Source organism: Homo sapiens, chromosome 6, assembly GCF_000001405.40.
Source record: "Homo sapiens chromosome 6, GRCh38.p14 Primary Assembly".
Classification (NCBI taxonomy): domain Eukaryota; kingdom Metazoa; phylum Chordata; class Mammalia; order Primates; family Hominidae; genus Homo; species Homo sapiens.
The window spans coordinates 100,467,116-100,485,311 of record NC_000006.12 but is presented as its reverse complement, the minus strand read 5'-3'; the positions used below and the strand labels follow the sequence as shown (position 1 = coordinate 100,485,311).

Here is an 18,196-nt window from a genome sequence, read left to right as displayed (position 1 = left end):
ACAAGTTTGCTGCAACTTTGAAACAGAACAGAATCTGCCCTGGAAAATGAGTTTTGCCTGGAGTCAGTATTTTCTGGTGGTTGGCTGCCTAAGAAAGGGAAAGTACCAAAGAAGGCTCAGGATAACTGGAAATATCACACCCTGTGGGCCTTCCCTCCTCTGTTCCTCTGTTGCTTGTTTCTCAATCTTTGCTTCACAAGCTGGTGGTAACTTAAATACACATTGTTTATATAGATAACTCTACTAATTTGTCACTGTATTGTCAGCACAAAGAAAAATTTATTGAGAGAAATCTGCTTGCAAAATACCTCTCCTCCCACTCTGCTCACACATCAAAATATCCTGTTTTTGACACATACAAATGTGACTTTAATAACGGAATAAAATATAGACTCACTAAGCATTCCTGTACCGTTTCCATCCCTTGTTTCTTCAGCCTTTCTCTCTTTCTCTCTCTCCTCACTATTCTTCTTTGAGTCTCCTGATTTGTTGGGGTGGAGAAGGGGTTGATAGGTCTAGTGTGGGGACAGCAGTGATGAAAATCTCTAACTCCTGAGAGACACAGGTCAAATTTCTCTTTGTGCTGGCAAAGAAACACACGGTCACTGCCAAAACCACAGAGTAAAGTCTTCTAAAAATCCCCTCAGACAGCGATGTTTTAGAGTTAAGCCTTTTCATTTATATTTGGACAACCACCTGTTGACTTCTACTGGCGCTTGTCAAGGGCGGGTAGATGGCGGGAACCTGGAGCAGAATTAGCCCATTCAAAGGGCTTGGTGTTCCCCTTTGAAGAGGCTGCCACTGTTTTTAACTGAGCCTAGTCAAGGCTCATAAGATCAAAACATGAAAAACAAAAAGGAAAGCGTTTACTTGGGACAGGGTCTCACTCTCCTCTTGAGATTATCACAGCATTCTCAGACCATCCCTTTTAATCCAGGAATCAATTAGAGCAGTCTTTACAATGTATTTCCTAGTCCTGAAAGGCAGTCAGTGAGAGCCAGGGGAAAAGACAGAGGAGAAAATCCATGCTGGATGTGGAGGGTGCAATGGTGGGTCCTGCCCGATGACTCCTGCTGTGGCCACACATTTTCCAGGGCAGGCTTTTTCTCTGCTACAGAGGAAGAAGGTGGGTTGGAAGCAGGTGAAGCCAGAAGTAAGAGAATGAAGTACAAAATATGCTTCAGTTAGGAAAGTCTCATTTAAGCCAAATTGCAAGTTTGTGATAGGAAAAGTGTCTGCCATAGATTGACATCTTTGGTGAGATGCGGACACTCAGTACTGACTGAGTTACCTAATTCTCCAGTTGACCTAGATTAAGCCATTCTACCTACATCTCGGGGTTTATAATGAGCTCCTTATGTCTCAGGGGAATGGATCTGTGTTAGGTACTTCAAAAGGCAGATGAAAAACTGCAAATGTTCTATTGCAGGTGGTGGGGAAGAGTAGACAAGTCTAAGAAATTAATTAACAACAATAAATTCAAGAATTTATGAATGTATACTATACTCTAAGCCCTAAGGGAACACATTGATGAACCCATCATGGATCCTGCCCAAATAAAGGTGTATATTATTAATTATTCTTAACAATCCCTAAACGAGATAAGAAGATAAAACTCAAAACTGTATAGCTGGCCTGGCATGGTGGCTCATGCCTGTAATCCCAGCACTTTGGGAGGCTGAGGTGGGAGGATCACCCAAGGCCAAGAGTTCAAGACCAGCCCAGGAAATATAGGGACACTTCCATCTCTACAAAAAGTGAAAAAGTTAGCCAGGCATAGTGGCACACACCTGTAGTCCTAGCAATTTGGGGGGCTGAGGTGGGAGGATCGCTTGAGCCCAGAATTTAAGCCTGCAGTGAGCTGTGATTACACCACTGTACTCCAGCCTGAGCAACAGAGTGAGACCTTGTCTCAAACAAAATAAAACGAAACATAACACAACAAAAATTGTATAACTGTTTTTCCAGAATAAAACATTCCAATGTCTCTCTTCTGGAAACAATCTTTTGGCCAATTCAAGAGCATAAACTGGATGATGTCTTTTACTTACTAATGTAACATTTATTGTGCACCTCTGCAGAGTCAAAATTATGCTAAGGGCTAAGAAGCATACAGGCAGCTGGGGTGAGAAAGGCATCTCCCCTCCTGCCCTGTGAGCTGTAACATTCTGACAAGGGCAAGCACACAGGTCCACCAGGTTCCTCCTGTACCATGGACATGGGTTTTGCCACAGCTTGCAATTCATTGCCCTTTATTCTCATCCATGCCTACTCCAGCCACTCTTCAACCTAGACACTCAACTGAGCTTCCACAGAGCTGGGGTAAAATAAACTGGCTCTGCATGCTGGGGACTAGGGGACCAAAGCCAAACCCAGACGGTTTGTCCTTGCCCTCAAAGTCAACATGGTCAGTTCTAAATCAGGGTTTCTGTGAAGTGTTATGGGAATACGAAAGGTAAATATTTGCTTTTGGTGGGAGAGAAACAGAGACTTCTATAGTCCTGATTAAACACAAGATCAGCTACAACCAGGCTTGGGACAGGGCTGGAGCTGGCTAAACAAGATTAGAGCTTTGTTGGAGCTATGAGAGCCCATCAGGTGTTCAATTCCTCAAATTTATTTTTTGGTTTCTTGATTACTTAAAAGTAGTATTGGGCTTTGAAAGCAGACAATAAACAGACATGTCACCTAGACAAGGTAGCCTGTGGCAAGAGCAGGCACTCTGTACAGCAAAGAAAGTACATCTACACCTGCCCTTCATTTCCACCCTCACTTTGCTGCCCCTCATAGCCCAGTCCTTCATCGGTACTCTTTCACTAGGTGGAAATCATCCTTGTCATCCATCCTGCATCCTGCAGGTTGCTGCCAAATCATTTTCTCCAAAAGGCCCTTTGCACCTTGTCATAGCCAGATTCCAGCAGGAACAGATGGGCATATGCACAAAATTTAACTGAAAATAGTTTAATAAAAGAACTGTATACAGAAGTGGATCAGGATTCAGATATTACCAAAGGATGCCAAATACTGAGGGACTAGCAAAAGTAAGATCTTGACCCAGGTCTGAAAGGCTAAGAGGAGAAAGATGGACTCCCTCAACTGGTGAGAGCCATAGTTATAGAAGAGGGAATGCCCACCAAAGTCAAGGCCTAGAAAAATATGATCATGTAAAAGCCATGGCAGGAAGAGGATGATGCAATGAACATTCCAGCTTTTCTCTCCCCCATCTCTCAATGGTTACCCACTGGTTAAACCCAACCAGAAGCTGAAGGGAACCCCGCTTCCCTCTGGAGTCCCTGCATGGGTTCAGTGTCTGTGGCATAGAGCAGGATAGAAAGGGTAGAGAATGAATCTGAAGGGGAAGGAGTTCTTTTATATCGGTATCTCATATAATTCCTATGGTTAAATTGTAGATCGGCATCTTACCCATTTTACAGATGATGAAATGAGGCTCAGTCAGATTACATGTCTTAGCAAAGGCCTCACAACTAATAATATGGCCACATAGAGTCAGAATTCAAATTCAAATTCGTTGTATGACTCCAAAATCTGTGTGCTCCAACCAGGGAAGCTGCACCGATGACTGGACTTGGGGATTGGTGGGGTCTAGGAAAGGAGCAAGATGGGAGATCTGAAGATGTCATTCAGGGGTTGATTCTGTTGACTTTGATCAAGTTGAGACCATGAACTGAAATAGGAAAACCAGGAGGGACATATTAGTTGTATGTGCCCACCCATGCTGAATCTGAGGGCCCTAAGGAAAACAATCATTTAGTGGATGTGTCTAGCATGCGATATGAACACAGGTCTGGAGTATCCGGAGGGCTCAAAGCCAAAAAGAAATATTTGCAACCATGGAGTAGGGTGATGGCTAATACCTTGAGGGTAAAGAACATCACCCAGGGGACTTGCTGGGCAGAGATGAGATGAAGACTCAGGCAGGGCCATCCAAGACCCCTGCACTGATCATTTCCTCATTACCAAGGGATTTCAAGGCATTTCATAATGCGTAGCCTGGCACAAAAGGCCCTCCTCCACTGGGCCCCAGACTTCAGCATTCTTTCTCACTGATTCCAGCAACCAACTCTCTTCTCTGGTTAAACCTACTTGCACTCTCCCAGCTCTTCCACTTTCCCATACCCCAAGCCTTGACCTGCCCACGCTCCACTCCTCCTTTGAGGCACACTATGCCCTGGGTGATGGCTCCCTTTTATGACCTTTGGTAGTCCCCACATCTTCACCCCACAGCATATCCTGTCTTACAGACCCTGTGCCTTTGTCTCCATCTGTATGAAGAATTACGTGCTCAGCATACATTGGACGTAGATAAATTGAAAAATACCAGTTGGCTTAATCATTTGCTTATTTTGGAGATGGCCAAACATCAGTAAGGCCAGCTTTTTTGTTTTATTCAAATTAGCTCGCCTTGGCCAGGCATGGTGGTTCACACTTGTAATCCCAGAATTTTGAGAGGGCAAAGTGGGAGGATTGCTTGAGACCAAGAGTTAGAGACCAGCCTGGGCAGCATAGCAAGATCCTGTCTCCACAAAAAATTTTAAAAATTAGCTGGGCATGGTGGTATGTGCCTGTAGTCCCAGCTTTTCAAGAGACTGAGGCAGGAGGATCACTTGGGCCCAGTAGGCTGAGGCTGGGGTGAGCCAAGATTATGCCATGCCTGGGCAACAGAGCAAGACATTGTCTCTTAGAAAAAAAAAATAGCCCACCAGTGTGGGCTACTTTGTGTCCAAAACAGTGATCCAAACATAGTAATGGCAATATTATTAGAATATCTGGGTGGGCTTCCAAAGGGACTATATGAAAGGGAACGGCACTCACTGGATATATATTATAGCGCCTAAAGTCATGATGGGCGCAGTAGGTAGTCACTGGTCAACTTCTGACCATAGCACATATTTTCTTATAATTTGGGGCAAGTTACTAAATTTCCCTCAGTCTCAGTTTTCTTACTTGTAATAGTGTCACTTATTTAATAGGTTTACCACGCAGATCAAATGAGATAATTCTTAGCCCAGGCCTGACAGCTAGTAAGACCTTAATAAATGCTAGAAATCATTGTTATTATAATTACTTCAGCCCATCGAGTTTAGCTTATTAGAGCTAGAAGGAACTGCATAGAAAATTCAGTCCCAGCACTTAATTTATAGATGAGCAAATGGATGCTCAGGTGTCAGGACATGATCGGATGGAGCTCAGATATAAAACAAGTCCTGTGTTCCTTCGTCCACTGGCCAGCACTACTCAAGAGTCTGTGTCACATTTTATACCTGCACAGGCCCATGCTTTTACTTGTATTACATGCAGTGAGGCAGAGTGATCTAGATCTGTTTTTTGTTCATTTTCTGAAGAGATAGAACATTTATGTCAAATCCAATCTACCTTGATCAGACAGGAAATATAATAAAACATTTAAGACAAATCTTTATAGAGCAAAAGTTATACCAGTTTGTAGTTACAAAAATCATTGCTGGTGACCCTAATTCATACCAACACTTACGGGAATAATGAAAGCAAACATGTGAAGAGTAAGGTTGAAGTGAAAGTCACAGGGGTGTTTTGTGCATGACTGGTTTTTTGTTAGTTTTTGGGTTTTGTTTGTGTTTTTAGACCACTGTCTGGGTCAGAGAAAAACACTTGTAATGAAAATGTCCACCTATAGGTGGCAAACTTGTACTGCTGTCATTCTGTCCTTGGGTGCCCTTGCAAGTAAATGTCACTTGGAATGGAGATGAAAATGAAATTTGAAGAAAGAAAACAAGAAATCTAAATGGATCCAGAAACAACACTCTCACAAAAATTTTAAATGAAAAAAAAAACCATGTAATAATCTCACAAGATACTTAGTCTGATTCATCTGCAAGAATACCTCATGAAATTGCACCAGATGCATTTATTCAGGATCCATTTCAGAGTTCCTACAACATAGCACACCCTGGTTTAGAGTGGGAAAGACACATCCCTGCCTTGAGAGTGCTGACAGCTGGGAGCCTTCCACCTGCAAAGCACTTCCAGCAACATCTCTCATCTGACTTTTGCTGTTGTCCCCGATGTCATAGATAAGAAAACAGAGGCTCAGAGACACCAGGGGAGCGGCAGACTGGAGCCCAGCTCCTTAGAGTCCAGGTACTGTCTCTGTCTGCCACTTTATGCTACTTCAACATAAGGCAGAAAGTGACAAAGTGATCCAGGATTAGGGGGTAGGAATAACTAATTCTTTGGGGTGTATCACTCACAGGAAAGCCCCAGTGGTTCTTCCAGAGCCTTTGTAAATAGAATGACCTTGGACTCTCTCATTTCTGCCCTTCACCCTGGCTAACCAACACTTACTCCCTAATCGTGAAAGGGGGGTTGTTTCCCAGAGTGAGGGTCAGGATCCCCTGGGGACTCTAAGGAAAGTAGTGAAGACTTTAATTTACAGTGGCCAGGCTTGGTGGCTCACATCTGCAGTTCCAGCTGCTTAGTGAGGCTAAGGTAGAAGGTTCACTTGAGCCCAGGAGTTTGATGCTGCAGTGAACTATGATTACATACCACTGTTCAACCTGGGTGACAGAGTGAAAAAAAAAAGACTTTATTAACGAGAAATAATTCTTTTTTTTTTTTTTTTTTGAGACAGAGTTTTGCTCTTGTTGCCCAGGCTGGAGTGCAGCGACGCGATCTTGGCTTACTGCAACCTCCGCCTCCCGGGTTCAAGAGATTCTCCTGCCTCAGCCTCCCGAGTAGCTGGGATTACAGGCATATACCACCATACCCGGCTAGTTTTATATTTTTAGTAAAGATGGAGTTTCTCCATGCTGGTCAGGAAATCCCGACCTCAGGTGATCCGCCCGCTTCAGCCTCCCAAAGTGCTGGGATTACAGGTGTGAGCCACCGCACCTGGCAAGAAATAGTTATTCTACCCTACTTTTAAAAACTTTTGATATAGTATACTCATTTAAATGTGTTTAATTAAAACAATATTGAGTGCCTGTTTAAACGTATAAAGAGGGTACAATGTGTTTTTCCATGCATTCCTTGCTCCTTTGAAGATTTTCCTATGTATCATCCCAGGCTTATCCCTAAGTATTTACATATATGTAGATACGTAAGTGTGGATATAGAGAGAATTTTCTTTGCCCAATTCATGTAGTACTCTGCTGCTTGCTTTTTTCATTTAACAATATAACTTGGAGAGCTTTAACTAGACCTATGTTATGCAGTTTAACGTGGCATGGGGTTTATAGTTTGAATGTACCATAATATATAAACCATTCCCTTCCCTACTGGTGGATGTCTAGGTTGTTTCTGTTTCTCACTATTACAAATAGGTCTGTAGTTAAGTCCTTTTACATATACCTGTGTACATGTGCAATATCTCTGAAGGATAAATTCCTTAAAATAAAAATATTGTTGGACCAAAGCATAGATATGCATTTTGAATTTAAAAAAAATACTGTTAAATTAACTCCCACAAAGGCTGAACTGCCTTTTTGTTGACCCTCTCTCTCATTAACTTTCTATTCACAACCTATACTGTGGGCCACTTTTATTCTGTTTTAACTTTTGTTTTGTTTTGTTTTGAGACATGGTATCCCTCTGTCACTCAGCCTATAGTGCAGTAGTGCAATCATGGCTCACTGCAGCCTTGAACTCTTGGGCTCAAGGGTATCCTCTTGCCTCAGCCTCCTGAGTAGGTGCGACTATAGGCACACACCACTATGCCCGGCTAATTTTTACAAAATTATTTTTTGTAGAGATAACGTCTTGCTATGTTGCCTAGGTTGGTCTCAAACCCCTGGGCTCAAGTGATCCTCCTACCTCAGCTTCTCAAAGTCCTGGGATTACAGGTGTAAACCACTGCGCCTGGGCCTATGTTTTAACTTTAATCTTGAAGTCTTCCTTCTCCTGCTTTCTCTCACCACACACTCATTTCACCGAAAACTCTGTTAGATTTACTTTCAAATACATCCAGAATCTAGCCACTTCTCACCACCTACTCTGCTATCACTTGGTTGAAGCCACCATTACCCCTGCACTGGATCCCTGTAGTAGTCTCCTACGCATCTCCTTGCTTCTGTTCTGCCCTCCTTCAAACTACTGTCAACACAGCAGCCAGAGTGACCCTGTTAAAACAAGTCAGATCATTTCATCCCTCAGCTCAAAATTCTGCAGCGTATCCTCACTTCACTTCGTGAAATCCTTATGATGACCTCCAAGGGCCTATGTGATCTGCACCTACATTCTCTTCTCCTACATTCTCCTCCTCCCCATCTGTACTCTGCCATGGACACTGACCTTCTTGCTACTCCATGAATCCTCCAGGCACACCCCACATTATGGTCTTAGCAGTCCTCTCCTTCCTGATATCCACTTGACTAACTCCTTCACCTCCTTCAAGTTGGCTCAAATTTCTCTTTCTCAGTAAAGCCCTTCCAATACCCTTATTCAATACTGCAAACATCCCCCATCGGCGTCCTATACTCCTTGCTCTTCTTTTTCTTTTCCCAGAGCATTTACAACCCTTTTACCTGCTATGTAATTAACTTTATTATGTTCGTTGCCTACCTCTCCCATTTGAATTTCCATGCCACATGGGTGGGGATCTTTGCTGTTTTGTTCACTGGAAAAAATCTTTCATAAATATCTGTTGAATTGGAGTCGCCATTCCTCTCTCCATTGCAATGGTGAAATAGCTTCAAAAAGCTGTAGTTTTGACACTGAGTCATTCCCTTGTGGATGATGTTGTCCTATTGCTTTTTAAAGATAAGTTTCGAAAAGGAAAAAAAAATAGAAAAATTGGACATCATCAAAATTTTAAACTTTTGCTTGTGAAAGACTCTGTAAAGGGGATGAAAAGACAAACTACAGACTGGGAGAAAATATTTGCAAATCACAAATCAAACAAAGAATATATATAATCTCAGAACTCAACTGTAAAAAACCACACACAGGCAATTCAATTAGAAAATGAACAAAAACAAGAACAGACATTTTACCAAAGGGGATACAGAGATGGCAGATAAGTACATGAGAAGATATCTAACACTATTTGCCATTAGGAAGATGTAAACTAACAAACACCACAATGATATCAGACCTATCTGAATGGCTAACATAAAAAAAATCACGTCAAATGCTGGCCAGGCACGGTGACTCACACCTGTAATCCTAGCCCTTAGGGAGGCCAAGGCGGCTGGATTGCTTGAGCCCAGGAGTTTGAGTCCAGCCTGGGTAACCCTGTGACACCCCCTTCTCTACAAAAAATACAAAAATTTGTCAAGCGTGGTGGTGTATGCCTGTAGTCCCAGCTACTTGGGAAGCTGAGGTGGGAGGATCACTTGAGATTGGAAAGTCGAGGCTGCAGCATGCCTGGGTGACAGAGAGAGACACGATTTCAAAAAAATAAATAAATAAAATGCTAGTGAGGATGTGGAGAAAACGGATCACTCATACATGGTGGTAAGCATGTAAAGTGGTACAGTCACAAATATACTTTTACTTTTTCTTTTAAAACCAAAAATGGACTTCCCATACCACCCAGCAGTTGTACTTTCAGGCATCTGTGCCAGAGAAATGCAGACTTATGTTCATACAGAAACTTGTACAGCAATGCTCATAGCAGCTTTATGTATAATATACAAAAACTGGAAACCACCCAAATGCTCTTCAACAGGGTGAACGGTTAAAAAAAAACTGTAGAACATACATACCGTTGAATACTACTCAGAAATAAAAAGGAATGAACTACTGATACGTGAAACAATATGAACTGATCTCAAGAGGTTGTGCTGAGTGAAAACACCAATCTCGAAAAGTTACATTATATATGATTCCATTTACATAACATTCCTGAAACAAAATTATCAATGGAAAAGAGAGTAGTGGTGTCCAGGGTTTAGAGATGGGGATGGAGGGAAAGAGAAAGCTGTAGCTATAAAGGGGTAATATAAGGGAGTCTTGTGGTGATGGTGCAATTCTGTATCTTAATTGTAGTGATGGTACACTAAGCTAAGCTACACATGTGATCAGACTGCATAGGTCTATGAGCACACACACACGGATACACACACGCAGGCACACACACACGCACACTCACGAGTACAAGTGTAACTGGAGAAACCTGAATGAGCTCTGTTAATTGTACCAATGTCACTTTCTTGGTATTTATACATACTGTAGTTACGCAAGATGTTACTGGGTCAGGCAAGGTAAAGCGTGCACCAGAATTCCCTGTACATTTCTTTGCAACTTCCTGTAAATCCATAATTATTTCCAAATTGAAAAAATAAAGGACAGGGCGCGATGGCTCACACCTGTAATCCCAGCACTTTGGGAGGCCGAGGCAGGTGGATCATGAGGTCAGGAGATCGAGACCATCCTGGCTAACACGGTAAAACCCTGTCTCTACTAAAAATACAAAAAATTAGCCAGGCGTGGTGGTGGGCGCCTGTAGTCCCAGCTACTCGGGAGGCTGAGGCAGGAGAATGGCGTGAACCCGGGAGTCGGAGCTTGCAGTAAGCCGAGATTGCACCACTGCACTCCAGCCTGGGCGACAGAGCGAGATTCCCTCTCAAAAAAAAAAAAAAATAAATAAATGTGAAGAAAAAAGTTTCAAGAAGAAATCCAGGCCAGCTTTCAATTGGGATGTTTTCCCCTGGGGTTACTGTCCTTATTTCCAATACATCTAACTTTAACTTCTTTTTATTTGGTCTTTTTCACTTTTCGAGGGAAAGCCCGCAAATACTTACTTGAGTGAACATTATTCTTACGTGGTTCTGGGTAAGCTACTCAGCTCTCTGTTCTTCAGCCTTCCCTTTGGAAACTTGGGGGAATATCATCTGTCCCCATCCTCATGGGAATGTAGAGAGTTACAAACTCACAGAAGTTCCAATTAACTCCTTCCATGCTGAAATCATAGAGCAAGTGGGAAGTGAGGTGAGCACTCTCCTCCAATGAGCACCCACCACATTCTGGTCACTGCACAGGCACTTCAAATACACTGTCTCACTGGCCAGGTTTCAGCTCATTCGAAAAAGATGTGAAGGTCCTACATAAACTACAGCATTGCTGACCACTGAAGAACTGATAGCTGATAACATTGCTAAACAGCAAGAGTTCTTACTGGGTTTATACTTCTCAAATTTCCAATTAGTCAAAGCTATAGTAATATTTAAGTTGCTTTTTAAAAATGCACAAGCTAATTCTCTAATGCAATTTTCAAAATAAGCATACTTGGCTCTTTTTAAAGCATTTCCCCCTGAATTTGGTCAATAGATTTTGGAACCATTTTAAACAGGTTGACGTCAATCTTTTTGTAAAACTTTCTCCTTGGTGCTTCCCACCTCCATGTGTCCATCTCTTTTTCTTCCTCACAGAAGCATTTCTTTTCCTTCTCTTCTTTCTCTGGGATATGCCCTCACTAAACAAATTTGCTCTGTCACCTCTATTCTTATACTCCCTGGGAATGAAATGTTATTTGTTGGTCACCCATTAAGCACTGAAACTACTGCAAGATTATTTCCAATACATCATAACAAACATTCTTTGAAGTGTGTCACATGAGCCCTGAATCAGCAAGGAGGATAGTATTGCGAGGGCTGTTGCTAGACTATACAGTGCCTTTGTGCAAATTAGAAAAAGACCCCCCTCTGGATGGGACACAGGACTGAGCCAGGGCTGAATTTCAGTCCTTACCTGCATGGATGAGACACAACCTCCTCAATAAGATCCAGAAGCTATGGAAGGAGCTCTCAAAAGTAAACTCAGCTCATCATCACTTTTGTACCCAAATCCATCCTTGACTTATAGTGATTCCAAGAGTGAGCACTTGACTCATTTGTGACCCAATTTTTTTCTGTGTTAGACTAAAAATCTATAAAATACTTAGACATGAGGTTTTACAAACCTGTCCTATACACATTTCTTGTTTATCATCATGACACTTATCATCTTATTTATCATCATGACAGTGGTGCCAGTACTCATTGGGAGATCAGCAGATCACTCAGCTTTGGGACAAAACAGAGAGTTTTAAGTAAGACGGGGGTACACCAGATATTTTTATCCTTGTTTAGTTTTCCTCTTCCAGTGCAGTGGTCTCTGACTCAACAAAGCCCAACATTCACAACCTGCTGTCAGGGGCCTGATGCATGCATTGTCTTGAGTTGAATAAAAACATTTGACTCTTTCTGTCAATTTGCAGTGGAACACACCTTCCAGATTTTCTACATTATGTGATACCAGCTCTGAATATTTCCTATTCAGTGTTCACCTCTGTCAGCTAGTCTGAAAATTGGAGCCAGAAACACTTGACAAATCACTGGCCACATTGTGGTTACAGGTGATGACACATTGCTGCTGCTGCTGCTGCCGGTGCTTATTCATGAAACTGGAGATTAACGTTCCATTTCTGAGATGTAAACTAGGGAAAACCCCATATAAAGCACCAGCATTGAGCAGAATAACAGACAGACAATTTTCAACTGAAATGCCAGTTATTAGAAGTCATGTGGAGTCAGGAGTTGCCATGGAATCCATTTGTATCTAAACCGGCTCCTCCTGCTGGAATAGTTTCTCATTATCATGTCTTTCTTATGGGGTTGGGGGAGAAAGAAAGTGAGAGTGCCATCTCATATAAAACTATGTTATAATTCTGAAGCACTGAGGCCCTACAATGAATAGAAAATTAAAAGTTTTAAGGAAAGTTAATGTAAAATTGTAATACCCATTTATATTGTTTGGCTTGGAGTAAAACAATCACATTGCCATCAAGATTTCCTTTCTGTGACTTTTGATTATTCAAGGAGAATACACAATGGCTTGTGGTACAAGATTTATCTTCACAAGCTAGTTATCAGATCTCCAGGAGTGAAAATAAATATCAAAGCAGATCTAAACTGAGATGGGCTGCACATTTGCAGTGCACTTGTGTTCCCCTGCTTTCTCCTACGTATCATTTTTATTTAGATTCTTAACCAGATGATTATGGCTTTTCCTCCTCTTAACCAGACCATTATGGCTTTTCCTCCTGTGAAACTGCTGATGAGTCTATCCCCTTGTTTCCTCCAAGTTATTTGTTCAAATCACGAGAAGTGATTGGCTGGCATATGTTAATGCTTGAGTTGTTTCTGTGGTAAAGTCTCCCATGTGTTTATAGGTAAAATACAGAAACAGATTGATCAAATATCAACTTGGGACAACTGAATTTCAAAACACAGAATCCAGAAATTAACCACTGTTTTAACATATGTACAATATAATTGATTATAATTAGACAGGAGATCTGTTGAATGAAGATACATTAGAATTATATTTGCATATTTATCTTATTCTGTGTTTTCTATGAAAGAATATTAAATGTTTCATGTGAGTAAAATTGTTAGTAGATTACTCCAGAACCTTGAACCTGTGTTTGTCATTGTCTCGACTTCCCAGTGTTGACCAGTGAGCTCACCCCAGGGATTCAAGAATGGTTCAACTGTATTTAAAACCAGACCCCACCTCAACCTCCTACCCAAGGATTTACCCACCTCAGAGCCAAGAGGGCCCCCACCCTCAAATCATTTGGGTTGACAGTTTCCAGTAGAAAAATGCAAGCAGCACTTAGGCATATGAAAATATGCCAAACCTCCCTAATAACAGAAAAAAATTAAAAATCAATTTTCATCTAGTAGACTGGGAAAAAAGTTAATAATGTGCTTCATTCGAAGATTGTAGGGAAACAGTCACCCTCACACATTGCTGATGAGAGTGTCAATTGGCAAAACTGTCATGGAGGGCAATTTAGCAATGTTTATCAGGAGTGCAAATCCATGTATCCTTCAATATAGCAACTCCATTGTTGGGAATTTGTCCCGTGGGTGTACTTGTACACAGGTAAATGACATGTGTACAGTTATCCACTGCAGCATTGTTTGTGAAGCAATAATGGGAAACAAACCTAAATGTCCTCAGTGGGTGAAAGGTTAAATAATTTATACTGGTATTTTCTGGAATGCTATACAGATGTTTAGGAAAGAAAGGATGAAGAAGCTTTCTGTATACTGTCATGAAAAGTGAAAAAAAATCAAGGTGCAGAACGGTGTGTGTAATATAAATCTTAATGTTTGCTTGAAACTCCAGAAGAGTAATAAGAAGCTACGTAGTTGTATAGCTGGAGACATAAATTGGTAGCCCAAGATCCACTTGCTTGGTTTGCATAGTGTTTTAAAATTGGATTTCACTTAATAATCTGGATTTCTAGGTAAGGAAAATAAGTGAAGCAGGCCAGGTGTTAAGATAAGAAATGGTGCTGGTAGTCTAATCGGTCTGGATTTTCCACTCGGTTTTAGGGTGGAGGGACTCTGCAGTGGGAGCCCTGAGGAGATGAACAGCTTCATTCCAGAAATGGAGCTGTGACTCATGGATAGAGATTGTCATCCCAAACCTCTCTCATCTGAAAGGGGCTTAGGAACCACTGCTGGGAAAAGGCATGCCCAGCATCCATATCATCCCAGGTGTACCTAGGAGCAGCACTGACTTATCCATTTCACACAATAGTCACAGTGCCTAGGGCCCATGTAGTTTTACGGCCTGAGAAAAATGTTTCACTGTTTATTTCTTTTACCATCAGAAGAAAAAAAAATGTAAGAATAATGAATATATGATAATGAAACCAATCTGAATTACACTCATCTGTTTACCAATGCAGTTGCAAAATATAATTTTAAAATATTTTCTTATGCAGGATGGAGCCATAAAAACATTACAAAAGTGCTTAAGGATCAACAAAGCTGTGTCATAACGTTGACCCTGCACAAGAGGAAGCCCTTGCCACTTGAGGGGAGGCCTAGACCACCCTGGCCCAATGCATCCAGGCAGGGCCCCCTCCTCTAGCGACCACTCCCCCTGCACCAACATCACACACACACACACCTTGAACCCTTTATGCCTAAGTGGTCTTGAAAAATGAGGGAACAGGTTTGAGGCCAAAAGGAGAACCAATGCTTGTCTGCTATATTTCCAGTGTGTCCCACCCCTGGTTGACTGAACCAAAGTCTCTGGACTTATTTCCAGCAACATAGCTGAGAACCCTGGAACACTGAAACATTGTGAGAGCACCCTGTGTATTTCCCTGCTCTTCTGAAGCCAAACTCCCCACGGAAGTTTGCCCCGGCTTCCTCTCCCTTTTTTGACACTAACCACTTTCCTAAGGAGGCAGGAATAAGCCATCTTCAGAGACCCCATCCTTATCACAGAGGACAGCCTCACTCCTGGGCCTCAACTAGACCGCCCTATCATTTTATGCTGTATGTTCAAGATCCCACAATACTAGGGACATCGCTTCGAATATTTTCCCTCCTCACAGTCTTCTACTTCAGAAGCAGGCTGAGAAAAAGCAGACTAAGGCAATGGTTCTTAAAGTGCGGTTCCCTCACCAGCAACATCACCTGGGAACCTGTTAGAAATGCAAATAAACTATTGGGTTCCACCCCAGATCTACTGAATCATAAACTCTGGAAGTGAGGCCCAGCAATCTGTGTTTTAAGCAGCCTTCCAATCAATTCCCATGCACGCTCAAGTTCCAAAACCGCGCTAACAGCAAAGGCGCCCAGATATTCAAGGGCAGATTCCCATGTCTCGGGCCCAGAGGCGGTGAGTCTAGGGTGGGACCCAGGCATGTGCCCCAGGCTTCCGAAGCACCGGGTCTCCGGCCCAGACGAGCACAGTGGTAATTTCCCGGGGTCCTGGGGTTGCGACGCGAAAGCGGGAGCAGCTATTGGAGGCTCACGACTTGGAGACGCAACCACCTCAGCGGGGCGGCGCCCCCAACGGGGTTAAGCTGCGACTGTCACTGAGTCTCGGGGCGGGTCCACGGCCCCTCACTGCGCAGCCCAGGGTGGCGCCGGCAACCCTCGCTCTGAGCTCATCTTTGCTCCCGCTTCCCCGCGTTCGGAGCTGCCTAGTGGCCTGAGGCCCTCCGCTCCCTTACGGAATGCCAATTCCCGATTCGGACAGGGATTTCCTATTCCTAAATCAAGGTGGGGCCTTAGGGTTTATATTTAAAAGCCGCCCTCCTCCCCCACCTCCATGCCAAGTGACCCCGAGTTTGGTCTGAAATTCGGGAACCGATTTAAGAATCAAAGTGTTTTTCAACCCGAGTTTCCAATCCAGTGTTCATCTCCAGAGTTAGAACGCCTCAGTTGAGTGCCTGTATTCAGCGTTGCTGAAATTTATGCACACACAGCGTCCTCCGCTCGATTTCTGGAAAAGAAAAGTGTGAAAGCGCAGGCACCTGGAGCGGCAGGCACCCACCTGCTCCCATCCTCAGAATGCACAGAATCAGACCTCTTTCCAGCTAGCAATTATATTTTAAAATAATTATATTCTTTAAAGCTTAAAATTTATGTCTGCAAATACAGTGGTGCACAATTCAAGAAGCACTTATTTCCCAGCGGCCGTTCAAGGTTATATATTAGACCACGGTTTCCAATATCTGGAAAATTAACCAGAATATTTAGAGAAACTATATGAAACCCTTACTTGTATTCGCCAATCTCATTTTCCAACTTGGTGCATTTTCTTTTTTTCTTTCTTTCTTTTTTTCCAGTGTGTAACCACTGAAGTGAATTTGGGGGTATTTCACGGGTCAATTTAGGGAGACAACTGAAAAGCAGTACCTAGGAAAAGGGTTTTTTTATATTTATATACATAAAATATACTTTTCAAAACGTCCTGATCAGACAAGTAATATTTACCATAACTTCTAAATAGTAAATATGACCATATTTTGGGGGGCTCCTTCTACACTTTGTTTAGGGTCAAGGCTACAAGTGGCCCTTGTTTCTGCCTCAACATCATAACGACTCTCAGAGATGTAAATGTCTAAATGTGGTAAAAATAAATGAGTCTAGGACAGGATTACGTTAACTAATATACTTGGAACTAGAAAATGTTAATATTTCCTAAGACAATAATATGTCCCTAGATAACTTGTCCTTTTCAGTGACAGAGTGAACATCTGGATGTAACATACTGAGATGTTCGAGTGACCATCTTCAGATTTTGTATCTTGGTTATAAATATATCCTTCATCCTGACCTTGGACATTGAGCAAAATCCATGTGTGTGTGCTTTGTGCAACTGTGCATGTGGGATGTGCGAGCATGCAAAAGTGTATGTGTGCGTCCCTAGCAGTCTGCAAAAAAATAAAGAGAATGGTGGTGGACAGAAATCATTCTAGTTTTGATAAGATGCTCAAACAGCCTGGAGCAAAGAAGAGTCATTAGAGGAGTTTTTGGAAGGCAGGGTGGAGGTCTGTGCCAGAGCAAGGGTCGGGGGCCGAGGCATTGAACCCCGGTTCGGCGGTTTGCACCGGAATTCCAGTATGTGTTCACTCGTTCTTTTACAACCGAAAGTTCACCTTCTGTAGTCTTGATTTTGCCTTTTGCGGGGAGGGGTCAGAAGGCCCTTGAGGTGCCCGCTCCCCCTTCTTTCTGGGTGCGCGCGGCATGCTAGACATTGCTCACAAAGGCGCGTTGGTTCCAGAATCTACCCGGCCTGGCTCCCCTGGGGTAGAGTCACGGACGCCTGCATGTCCTGGCCTCCGGGGTCCGGGGCAGGCTCCATGAGGGCAGCATCCTGGGTTGCCCCAGAAGTGGCAGGGACTCTTGGGGGAACAGTGTCGCCATCACACTAGGCTGTTCGCCCTGCTTGGTGGGGGAAGGAGGGAGACACTTTTTTGCAGCCCCGCATGGGTTTTCTCCCACATCAGGATCGCATTCTGGGTGCCTGAGGGCCAGAGGCTAGGTTTTAAGGCCACCGGCTCAAGGAGGTGGCGGCCTAGACTCTATAAGGATCTCTATTTGGGGTTAGTGGGTCGCCCGTGACCGTCTCTTCCTTTCTGGGGCTTTTCTCCTTATATTGGCAAAACGATTAGTCTCTGAGCTTCAAGAAATTCATTTAAAATTTCCCGTGCTAGAGGCGAACGTAAATTCGCAGAACACGTGGGAGGCACCTGAGGTTCCGGTTCACGGTTCACGCCTCCGGCTACAGGGCGCGTGGGGGGCTGGCAGGCGGGGTCGTGGGGAGGGTGCAAAGCCAGGTCCCTGGGCCCGGGAGGGGGAGTGAAGGAGCAGCGTTCCGGCTCCAACCTAGGTTCAAAGATTAGAAAAACAGGTGTTACGTCGTCATGCTAATTCACTCTCTCGGTAAACGCGGCTCAGAC

General features: G+C 43.1%; 3 annotated features.

Moving 5' to 3' along the window:
* Positions 510-619: an enhancer, noted in NCBI's record as "active region_24866". NCBI's record gives its function as "activates an Ori minimal core promoter by ATAC-STARR-seq in GM12878 lymphoblastoid cells {active_cell/tissue: GM12878}" and the evidence as "EXISTENCE:reporter gene assay evidence [ECO:0000049][PMID:35858748]".
* Positions 2,285-2,579: a silencer, noted in NCBI's record as "tiled region #3240; K562 Repressive non-DNase unmatched - State 22:ReprW". NCBI's record gives its function as "represses a minimal TATA promoter and a strong SV40 promoter by Sharpr-MPRA in K562 cells {active_cell/tissue: K562}" and the evidence as "EXISTENCE:reporter gene assay evidence [ECO:0000049][PMID:27701403]".
* Positions 17,068-17,659: an enhancer, noted in NCBI's record as "H3K4me1 hESC enhancer chr6:100915529-100916120 (GRCh37/hg19 assembly coordinates)". NCBI's record gives its function as "activates a minimal SCP1, AML or CMV promoter by ChIP-STARR-seq in naive H9 embryonic stem cells {active_cell/tissue: H9 hESC(naive)}" and the evidence as "EXISTENCE:reporter gene assay evidence [ECO:0000049][PMID:30033119]".